Genomic DNA, 12169 nt, shown 5'->3' with positions numbered 1-12169 from the left:
TGAAATATTGTCACTGATGTCATCAGTTCATCAACAACCATAGGATATAGACATGCTTAAGTTTTAGTTATCCAATTTATCCCTAGAATAGGAGTTTCCAAAGTAATAGCTACCTTTTACGGTGCACTTAATATGGGCCAGGTGTTACTCATCCATAATGTCTAATCCTCACATGAACTGGCATGGGAGGCATCGATATCCCATGCTAGGGAAATAAACAGGAAGTCAGAGGGGTTGGATCACTTACTCAAGTCACACAGCTAGTAAGAGTGGGAATTTGGACTCACATTTCTGACACCAAATCTGTGACCTCTCTTCTGTTGCATGCTGGTGATTTAATGCTGGTCTAGGAAAGACATCAAGATTCTGGAGAAAAAAAGATTTGATGAACTTGTTCTCATGATGGGAAGCAGTACTAAGGATGATGTGAAGTTTTCCTGCCTCTTCTCAGTGGCAACTGTTCATTGACCATTATGCATGCATCATAGGCCCACAGCTGGATACTGAGAACAGTGTGAACACGTAGAACCTCCTCCTCCTCATTGGGTCACATTGTGTGCCACAAGCGTCACTCTGGAGTGGGCACAGCCATCATAAAAGCAATCAGTATATTCTCATATTTTTTCTTGATGTAAAAAGATGAAGTCATGGCATATGGTCAGATTGCCAGCACTGTTAATAATAAACCTCACATAATTAAGCACTGATTTATTTCTTTATATAAGTGAAACAAATTGCTTTAACTGCCTCTGCTCAAGACCATCCAGTCAGATGGATTATCTATAGGAAGTTGAAACTAAAAATTATGGGCACTCATATTTCACTGTGGTGGAGGTTTATTGGAGGTACAATTAGAACCCTAACTAAATGTGTCCTGTATTCTCTTTGATGGAGAGATCAGATATTAATCTGGGGATATGACTAATTCTCAACACAGCTGCTCTCTGAGCTCTAATATTCCCGCTTTAGGTTTAAAACCTGGAAACGTTTAAAAAATTGATCAGAGCTTATAATAGCAATAATCACCTTGAAATTGGTTGTTACTCCAGTTAATGAACTGAGTAGTAGGGCATGAGCCTCCCTCTGTGTCCCTCAGGCCTTTAACTAACAAGCTAGTTGTTAACCACTGGGTTTATTAAAAAGGAAAAAAATCTCTTTAGGAGAATTGAGTTGGGAAAAAGTAGGGGACTGGATGTGTTCACTCAGGATCCTCTAAGAGGACCAGCCATTTCCAGCAGTCACACCCTTTCCCTCAATGCCCTACCCTTCCCACCAGAACCAAAGCAGGGGTGGCCCATAGGAGGTGGCATCTTCTCCAGGAGTCAGGGCATTGCTCATCAAAGAGTGGTCCAGGAACTTGTTAGAAATGAAGAATCTCAAGCCCAATTCCAGATGTGTAGAATGAGAGTCTGCATTTTAACATGATCCTCCCTTAAAGAAGTCCTGAACAGGGTGAGTCTTCTTGCTCTGAGCCCCAACTTGTAAAATTGGGACCTCCCATCTCAGAGGCTTCTCTGCAGCCTCTTGTAAGGTCTCAGCAAATTCTCTGCTTCTGCCTCTAAGTAGATCCCTGTGGAATAGGGTAGTGGACACCAAAGCATTGCACATGATACCTGGTAAGGAATAGACCCTTGATAAATATCTGTCTAAAGAGCTATTACACTAAAGTGTATCTCCTTTCAAGGAAGAATTTCTTGGAGAAAGGGGAAGGCAAGCTGGATGAGGTCCTGGGCTTGGAAAGCAGCCAGCCTCAAGTGAGCAAGTCAGTCCCTGGGGTTTGGATTGTTATCAGGTAAGGAGGGGCTCACATCCCTAGAACAATTTTGTTCTCTCCTAAATTCCATATCCTAGGGCTTGGATTAGACTACGAAATGCCACCAACAAATTTCCCTGCTCAGTGTCTGAAGAGCAACATTCCTTTTTATAGAGCCTGCAGACTTCTAAGACCCCCTAGCCAACCCTTTCCAAGTGAGTAGAGTTTGGTTCTAGGCTCTGATTCAGGTCTAATGAGCTGGTGCTTTATTTCTTTGTTCTGTTTCCTTTACTAACTGTCCACCACAAAAGGTTTTCCTGAAAAGCTTGATGAAACCCAAATAACAGAACTGCTGGGTTTTATTGATGTGCCACTGTTCTGGAACGGTGGGGTTAGCAGATTACAGGAGCAGCTTTAGGGAGCCATAGAAGGCTGTGGGAATGATGTCATGGGTTAGCAAGGCTGTGGAGCAGTGCGAGAAAAGAGATTCTCCTAGAGTTTGGCGTCTGCAGAAAAGCCTGGGAGTGAAAAAAAATGACAGACTCTGGGTTAAGCAGAGCATCAGAGATTTGTGAACTATTAGGAGCCAGCTGGGACCAATCCACTTCCTTGCTCAGTCCTCCAGAGTCACTTAGATTGTGAATCAGGCTTGGTGGGAAGGTGATGGGCGCTCTGTGCACAGCAAACCTACCAAGACCTCACAACCCCACTGTTCTGAAGGAAAACTGCTGTCTGCTCTCACTTCCTCTGTGGTTTTTGTAGGTCCACTCAGTGGACATGTTGCTCTCCTTTCAGATTTACTGGAAATTAATTTTAACTCTAGGGCTGGTAGTCCCTGAATGACCCTTTATTTCTCTCTAGAAAAGGAGGCAGACATTTTATAATTTGTTAGCTTGTGAACAGGCTAATCATGAGATTCTCTGGTACTTTTCATCCATAAAAGTTCTTTAAAAATTTTAAGTTACAAACAAGAAGCCTCATTTTGTACTTTGCAGTGTAATTGTTTAGGAATTCAAGCCAAACAATCTGTCTTTTAATCTGTTTTGTGTTGTATCCTTTATAAAATTCCATTTCATTTAAATGCATAATTTGCCTCTTTTTCAAACCTGGAGATTTGCGGACAATCACACAGTATGGGAACTGGGAAGACTCTGTGGACAATCTCGCCCAGCTCTCACTAGCAGAAGTGGAACCCTAGCTTCTTACCTACTTACCCACCATCACAAAGCTAGTCAGTGGCAGAGTTGAAATCTTGTTTCTCTTTTTTCTTTCTTTCTTTCTTTTTTTTTTTTTTTGAGACAGAGTCTCACTCTGTTGCCCAGGCTGGATGTGCAATCATGGCTCACTGCAGCCTCGACCTCCTGGACTCAAGTGATCCTCCTGCCTCAGCCTCCCAGGCAGCTGGGACCACAGGTGTGCACCACCATCCTCACTAATATTTTAATTTTTTTGTAGAGATGGGGGTCTTGCTATGTTGCCCAGTCTGGTCTTGAACTCCTGGCCACAAGTGCTACTCCCGCCTCGGCTTCCCAAAGTGCTGGGATTACAGGCACAAGCTCCTGTGCCTGGCCTTGTTTCTTGTTTCTGAGCTGGATTTTGAAAATTGTAGAATTACCATGTACTTATAAGGAAATTAGCTATTTGTCATAAATGTTGCCACCCCCACCCTTCATTGTTACTTATCTATTGATTTTTTTCATTCAGAAATGTAAAAATATAAATGAAGTTAAATTTAGTAGCTCTTTTCTTTATGGCATATGTGAATTTTTGTCATACTTAGAAATGTCTATTGTATTCCAAGATTCTTTTGAAAAATGTTTTCTTTAATGTATTTATGTCCCATAGAAAGGACTTATAAAAATAGCAATTTTTTAAAGACAGAGTCTCCCTCTGTCACCCAGGATGGAGTGCAGTGGCACAATCTCGGCTCTCTGCAACTTCTGCCTCCCAGGTTCAAGCAATTCTCCTGCCTCAGCCTCCTGAGTAGCTGGGATTACAGGCACACACCACTGCGCCCAGCTAATTTTTGTATTTTTAGTAGAGACAGCTTTCACCATGTTGGCCAGGTTGGTCTCAAACTCCTGACCTCAAGTGATCCGCCTGCCTCAGCCTCCCAAAGTGCTGGGATTACAAGTGTGAGTCACCGTGCCCTGCAAAAATTGCAAATTCTTTTCATTCTGTATCTCCTTTGCTTGTGATTGTTTTGTTTTCCAAATGGACAGCATGTACTTACAAAATTTGTAGACCACAACCACTCTCCAAATACGAGTTCAGTGAGTGTTCTGAAGATCATAAAAGTGAAAACACCGGCCCAAAATACAAGAAATCTTCTCTGGCAAATAATTTAATCATGTGTGGCTTCTGTTCCTTCACATATAATGCCAACTTGCTATGCTAGGTATTTTATCTTTGCATCATTTTCAATACTGAAGGTATATTTGGATCTTCTCTTTTTTTTCTTAGTTTGGCTAAAGATTTGTCAGCTTTGTTTGACTTTTCAAAAAACCAACTTCTTGTTTCAATGATCTTTTCTTTTTTTTTTGAGACAGAGTCTTGCTCTGTCACCCAGGCTGGAGTACGGTGGCATGCTCTCGGCTCACTGCAACCTCTGCCTCCTAGGTTCAAGCAATTCTCCTGCCTCAGCCTCCCAAGTAGCTGGGATTACAGGCATGTGCCACCATGCCTAGATAATTTTTTGTATTTTTAGTAGAGACGGGGTTTCACCATGTTGGCCAGGCTGGTCTCGAACTCCTGAGCTCAGACAATCCCCCAGCCTCAGCCTCCCAAAGTGCTGGGATTACAAGAATGAGCCACTGTGCCCGGGCTGATCTTTTGTATTATTTTCATTTCGATTTCGTTTATTTCTGTTCTGATGTTTATTATTTCTTTTCTTCCACTAATTTTGAGTTTGGTTCACTCTTGCTTTTCTAGTTTTTTAAGATACATCATTAGATTGTTTCTTTGAAGTTTTTCCTCTTTTTTGATTTAGGCACTTTTAGCTATAAGCTTCCCTCTTAGTACTGCTTTTGCTGTATCCCATAGGTTCTGGTATGTTGTGTTTCCATTATCACTTGTTTCAATAATTTTTTCAATTTCCTTCTTAATTTCTTCATTCACCCACTGGTCACTGAGGAGCATATTGTTTTTCATGTATTTATGTAGTTTCCAAAATTTATCTGGTTATTAATTTCTAGTTTTATTCCATTGTGGTCAGAGAAGATGCTTGGTATTTCAATTTTTTTTTTTTTTTTTTTTTTTTTGAGACAGAGTCTCGCTCTGTCACCCAGGCTGGAGTGCAGTGGCCTGATCTCGGCTCACTGCAAGCTCTGCCTCCCGGGTTCAAGCCATTCTCCTGCCTCAGCCTCCAGAGTAGCTGGGACTACAGGCGCCTGCCACCACACCTGGCTAATTTTTTGTATTTTTTTTTTTTTTTGTAGTAGAGACAGGGTTTCACCGTGTTAGCCTGGATGGTCTCAATCTCCTGACCTTGTGATCCGCCCACCTCAGCCTCCCGAAGTGCTGGGATGATATTATTTCAGTTTTTTAAATGTTTTAAGACTTGTTTTGTGACCTAACATAATACTCTATCCTTGAAAATGATCCATGTGCTGAGGAAAAGAATGTGTATTCCGTAGCCATTGGATGACACGTTCTGTAAATATCTGTTAGATCCATTTGGCCTATAGTGCAGATTAAGTCTAATGTTTCTTTGTTGAATTTCATCTTTCCAGACAATCTTCCTATCTGATCTGTCCAGTGCTGCAAGTGGAGTGTTGAAGTCTCAAGCTATTATTGTATTGGGGCTCTAAAATCAACTGGTGGCAAAGCCATCCAGGCCTGTGAACTTCCCTTCAGGGTGGTGAGGTTCTCTAGGTTCCAGGTGGGTCTAGAGGTGCCGCAATCAGGGACTCGAGTAAAAAACCTTAGAAGTCTACCTGGTGTTCTACTGTACTGTGGCTGAGCTGGCACTCACACCACAGGTCGCAGTTTTTCCCGCTCTTTCCTCCCTTTTCCAAAGTCAGAGGAGCCCTGCTCCATAGCCCCTGCCCCCTACGCCACAAAGAGCACTGCCAGACTACTACTGATGTTCCCTTAAGGCCCAAGGGCCCTTCTGTCAGCTTGTGCTGAATGCTGCCCGACCTGGACTCATCCTTCATGGCAGTGGGCTCTTCTCCGGCCCAGGGAGGTCCAAAAATGCCATCTAAGAGTGAAGTCCTGGAATTGGGGACCCCAAGAACCTGGTTAGTGCTCTACCTGCCTGTGACTGTGCTGGTACTTAAGGTGCAAGATGAAGTTCTCTTTACTTTTTTTCCCTCTGCACCTGAAATTGATTTTGCTGTAAGCAGTAAGGTAGTTCTTCAACTCTAAGCGCCCTCCCCACCCCCTTTAATTTGCTGCCTTTTGTTGTACACCAGTTTATTGATTGGTAGGTCCATTCTTTCACCAAGGATTTAAAACGCCATTTTTATCACCTAATGCATACTTAAATTTATTTTGAACTATTCTTTTTCAGAGGTGTTTTTCATAAAATGAGTTTTTGTTATTATTGTCATTGCTATTTTATCATGCCCCCCAGCCTGTACCTGTGGTTGTTTTGATCGGGATTGGATCCCAGTCCTTCTGCTTCAGAGTCCAGTAGTCCTAGACCAAATTAGCTTGAAATTTAAAAAGCGCATCTGAAGAAAAAGTAAAATTATGATTATGAGCAGGATTGGATGTCTGAACCCAGAAACAACCAAATGATTCACATTTATTGGAAATATACTATCATATTTTATTGAACTTAAGATACAATTAATTATAAAACATATTTTTATGTATCATTCAAAAATTATAAAATGCCAATTAATTATGTCCCCTCATTGTCAGGTATATACAACTTCAGAGATGTTAAAATGTCAAAAAATCTGTGTCTTAGAATCAATGAAATACCATAGTAGTAGGATGTGTTATAAAAAAGAAACATAATAGGAAATTTGCTTATGTAGTGATTTCTTCACTCTTTTGAACTTGTTTTTCAAACATCTCATTCTGTTTTGCCCTTATTACTTCTCTGTAGTATAGGAAGGACCAATGTTTTCATTCTCAGTTTACTGATAACAATAATAGCAACATGTATATAGCAGTTACCTATGAACCAGGCACTGTTCTATGTCCAGTGTCACAAAGTAAGTAACAAAATCAAGATGTGAGCCTAAGAAATCTGGCTGCAAAGTTTGTGTTGTTAATCATGCATACTCCTCATGTAATAAAGAACCTGAGACCTGAAGAGCTTGGGAGACTTGCCATGATCCTTCGGTGGATTCTTACTCCTACACCAGGGCATTCTATACACCACCATTTGAAAGCCATAGTTGCAAGCACTATGTGCCTGAATGTTTCTAAATTTTTGGTTTTGGTTCAGAAGAGCTTACAACCTGGGTCTATGGTGTTACTTGGAAGTCTGGAAGGATAGAAATGGGGGACATCTCACTCTGTAGACCACATGATCTGAACCTCAAAGCCCCAGCATCTTCCAACCTCTCCTTTCTTATCTTAGCAGTATGGTGTCAGAAGCTCAAAAACTTTGTACAGAAAAAAGAAGCTAGTTATTGGCTAAAAGTACATATCCCTTAGTTTTTGTGTTGTTTAAAAATTTTCGCCTTGCTTAGAATAAGACATTGCCAGTTAAGCATGAGTTCATTGCAGTGACTTTGGTTTTCTCTCCTGGGGCTCTCACTTTGGCTGACACCAGGCAGAATCACTGATGATGGCAGCTTTCTGAGACAGGCCCTTGTTCAGAATCGTGCAGAACTGACTTCTATTGACCTTAAGAGGATAGTCCTTACAGGTGAGAGATACAGCTTCTTTCCTTGGAGTTAACCATGGTCATTATCTTCATGTCTGAGTCTGAACCTTTTGTGTGGGGTAGATAATTTGCATTTATCTGGAACAAATGGCTTTCTGAAGTATCAGCTGATCTAATCTTTTGAAGTCATTTCCCTCTGCAGAGCACCCAAGGGCATGTATATGAGTGATTTGTGAGTCTTCCTGATGCTTTTTTGGGGTAAAGGACATTCCAGATGGTGTGAGGCGGCAGCAATTGCTTTTGGATCTTTTCCTGGAATTATGGCACCAACCTGGTTAAATGAGAATCAGGCAGCCTTTCTCTTTGTCCAGGCCACAGGGGCATATTTCCTTTGTTCTATGATAAGTGTGGATCAACAATTTTCTCTAATGCTTTTACAGCAGTAGGTGTCAAGGAGTACCAATCTACTGTGCGCTCATCACTGGGAGCCCAAGATGTAAGTTGTGAAAAGGGAGTTTAAGTCCCAGACAGTTCAGCCAAAACCAGCCCCTACCTAGGTTCATGCATTAAACCCCATTGCAAGGGTTTTTAGTCCCCATTTTGTCTCAGAGTCTAATCGGCTAAGAATTTGGAAACATACTGCTAAAGTGAGCATTGAGGAGGGCACTTCGTAGGCACACTATAAGGGCTTCTGATTGGCCATCAAAGAGAAGGGAAATCTGCTGACTCCTACTAATGAGAATTTTCTGCAGTCTCATATGTTAAACCTTAACTAATTATCCCTAAGAAGAGCTGCTCCCCAAACTCATTAACTAATTAAACATTTCCAGATAGAGAGTTACCCATGCTGCATTATATTGCTGAAGTCACTGGTGTTCTTCCCCAGGTTTATAGTGATTTCTTAACAAAACCCAAGGATGCCTGGATCCTGGATTGTTGATCATTGATCTGCCTATGAGCCATGCCACTGGCGTGGCTACTGATTCATGCCAGTGGTTTGATGGGCCCTCAGAGTTTGCCCTCTGGAAGCTGACAGCCAGGCCTCTAGGGATCCCTGAGGGTTTCCCTAGCATCCTCTTTTTTAGCAGGATCATGAAAAAGGAAACTGGGTTGGCCTCTTTCAGCACGAGGGAGCCTTTGCTCTCAGCTGTGATTAAGAAAGCAGTGCTTCTCCGGATGGGGAATTTTCCCTTTGTTTCGCTTTTATTGAGGATCCCCTATCCTGAGGTGTTTTAAATTAAATAGCTAGATTCTGAAAATGTTAATTACTGCAATGTATTGGAGAACTTGATATCGGGATTCATTTTCCTTTGAAATACCACAAATACTAAACCCACATTGCCTCCATTTGTGCTGGGCAAATGGTGACTCTAATTCAGTCAGTTTCGGTTGTGGTTATAGGGCCTGGTTAGGGTCCTGAGGTACTCTCTGGAATGTGTAGTTTTTACCCTAATTCCAGAATTGGTGGCTGGGCCTTTGCTATACATTTGTAGCAGAGGCACACTGGTTGCATTTGTAGCTGAGAGAGGCAGTGTTAATTAGTGGTTAAGGGCTGGGCTTTGGGCATAGATGGGTTAGAACCCCTGCTTCTCCCTTACTGTCTCTGTGAATTGGGGCAAATACCTTCACTTCTCCGAGTTTTGTATTTTCATTTGTAAAATAAGAAAATAAAAATACAGGTCCAAAATTGCTTTCCGAACACTTAGGGCAAAATGTATTTTAGAATTGAGATTCTTTCAGATTTTAGAAAAATGAAATAGCACATATGCCCTATTTTACATTAAACTACCAGCAAAGGTGAGGTCTGGGTGGTATCCTGTAACCTATTAATATTTCTGCAGCAAAATGACAATTCATGCTAAATAAAGATTAGGAATAGGCTCACAGCAATTCAAATTCAGGTCAGATTTTACTGCCAAGTGAGTTTGTGGCAAAACTTATCTAAAAAGTAAATGGTTTTCAGGGCTTTTTGGATTTTGGAATTGTAGATAAGGGATAGCAGATCAGTATTTACTTACATTCTTCTTAAATAAGGTATGTGTGAAGTACTTATTACAAGGGTTTTTACACACTAACTGCCCAAAAAAAGTTAGCTAGCATTGAGATTCTTATTCCCTTGCTAGAACCCACTTCCTTAGTGTTTGTCTCTGAGTCTTCTGGCTGGTCATTTTGTCTCTGAGTTAGCTGTAAAAATGTATCATCTACGCATGTATGCAGATGAGAGAACTTTTACTAGCTCTGCCTTGGAAAGTGTTTCTTCTGTTCTGCTAATTTTAGAAACCATCACAGTCCAGTAGAACATTTTGCAATGATGGAAATGGGCTGCCCAATATGGCAGCCATTAGCCATCTGTGGCTGTTAAGCACTTAAAATGTGGCCAATGTAATTGAGAAATTAAATTTTAAATTTCATTTAATTTTAGTTAATTAATTTAAATTTAAATTTAAGTAGCCACATGGGGATAGTGACCACTGTGTATTAGGCAGTGCAGGTCTAGACCTGAACATAGTGTCAAATGCTGAGATGACCTTGTCCTCTTTAGATGCAAGATTCTTTATCCTTAAGCTGCTGAAGCTGGTGAGGAATTGCTCTTTCACTTGTTTATTTACCAAGTATTCTGTGAATTTCTACTACGTGCCTTCTACTCTGTGTTAGGTACTGGGGATAGAGAACAAGGTTTCCTCACCCAAGGAGAACATAGATACATTAGCATATGTAAGCCTACATTTAAAAACATAAATAGGCTGTGATGAGTCCAGTGATAGAGATATTGGATTGCTGTGGGAACACAGAGTGGGGACACACAAACAGTGTGGGGAAAGGTCAGAGAAAACTTCATTGAGAAGGAAGGAAGCTTTTTGTAGCGCTTTGTACAAGCAGCATGAGTTAGCCAAGGGAGAGTAAGAGGAAGAAGGAATTATAAGGCAGAATGAGAGAAGACATGGAAATGAGACCTAATGTGACGTTCTGGTAAGCTATCAGCTCTTGATGTGGCTAGAGTGGCAGGAGTTGGGGCTGGAGTATGGATGGAGCTGAGAACGTGGAGGGCCTTGCTTGCTGCAGAGCTCCTGCAGGCAATACTCAGAGCCAAAGCAAACCTGAAAAGTGGGGATTCACTTTGTCACTGTTCTAGTCAGTATTTAGTTAGGAAAATGGAAGACATTTTAAGTATTTCAAGATGGAAGAGGTTTCATGTGGGGAATTGGAGGTCTATGTAAAGATTGGAGTCTGGAGACCAAAGGTGAGAATGCTTTCAAGAAATGTAAATTTCAGAGATTGCTGGAAACCACCAGCTATGGTCTGGGCTGCCTGTAGCCTTGTAAATCATGGGCAAAAGTCCACATCTGCTGTCTGCTTGCTTCCAAGGCTTATGTGTCTGCTGAAGCTGGAGAAGATGCTTTTCTTCTCTTTTGTCTTCCAAAGCTTACGTCAATTTCTTTCAATGGTGGAATTTAGCCAGGGAATCTGTGAATTGTAGTACTCGGGCTTTCCGTTCTTGAGGTTCAGAGAAGAGCCTAGAAGAGCAGGATAGTACTGAGTAATGACAAACAGTATAAGACATCACCTTTTTTTCAGTGCCTTAGACTAGTAATATCGGCTATAGGTGAAGTGACCACAGAATTTATTATACAAACCAGGTCATTTTTAAAAACAAAAGGGGCTATAAAATTAGTTAATAGGTATTAGTTAATACAAAGAAGTATTATCCCAGGCAAATGGAAACATATGGTTACCCTAGATTATGGCATCATTAAGAAATGCTTGCCTTTTTTTTTTTTTTTTTTTTTTGTAAAATAAGAGGGAAATAGAAGAAACAACAAGAGAATAATGTTAATCATTGTCAAATCTGGATGATAGATATGTGGGGTTTTATTATACTATTCTATCTACTGTTGTGTTTGAAATTCTCATAATAAAAGTTAACTAAAAAGAAGTACCTGAAATTGAAATTTTTAATTTTTTTAATTTTTAATTTTGTGTGAGTATATATATAAATTTATATATATATATGCATAACTTTTTAAAAATTTCACACTGTGTGTGTGCGTGTGTATCCAATTCAGATGATGGTGTTTTAAAGGAAAATATATACTATGTGGTCTTTAATACTCTGAGGATAAAGTATTGTAACCAGGAAGGGGGAGGGAAGTTTCGGGTTTGGCCCTTGGGGCTGTTGGACACCACACCTGAATTGTTTATTGTTGGTCAGTAGGTCTTTGGGGGCTTTGATAATTAGTCTAGAAGCTAGAATTGCAATGAAATTAGCCCCTGAGATGATTTATCACACTCTTGACATCTAGAAAGTGCTCAGTGAAGATTTATTCAGTCAATGAAAGAGAAATAGTGGTGCGTTTTTCCTTTGTAGGAAGTGAGTTTAAACTCAAATGACAGCTGGCAAGGCTGGGAAAAGTCTGGAAAGATAGCTATCTAGATGTCAGGGACCTTGGCTGTTTTTTGGAACACAAAGGGGCTGATTGCGTCATACTCACTTGATTTTCCTTTTTTTTTTTTTTGTTTATCCAGTTAAGCTCTTAACTCTGCTTTTGAAAAAATAAATTTATTGTGAGTTCAGTAGAGCTCTGATTCTTGTTTCTCCAGCATGGAAGCAGATGTGCGTTTGGAGCATG

Source organism: Homo sapiens, chromosome 2 (assembly GCF_000001405.40).
Source record: "Homo sapiens chromosome 2, GRCh38.p14 Primary Assembly".
Classification (NCBI taxonomy): Eukaryota; Metazoa; Chordata; class Mammalia; order Primates; family Hominidae; genus Homo; species Homo sapiens.
The sequence above is the reverse complement of the archived record's forward strand: the minus strand, read 5'-3'. Positions refer to the sequence as shown.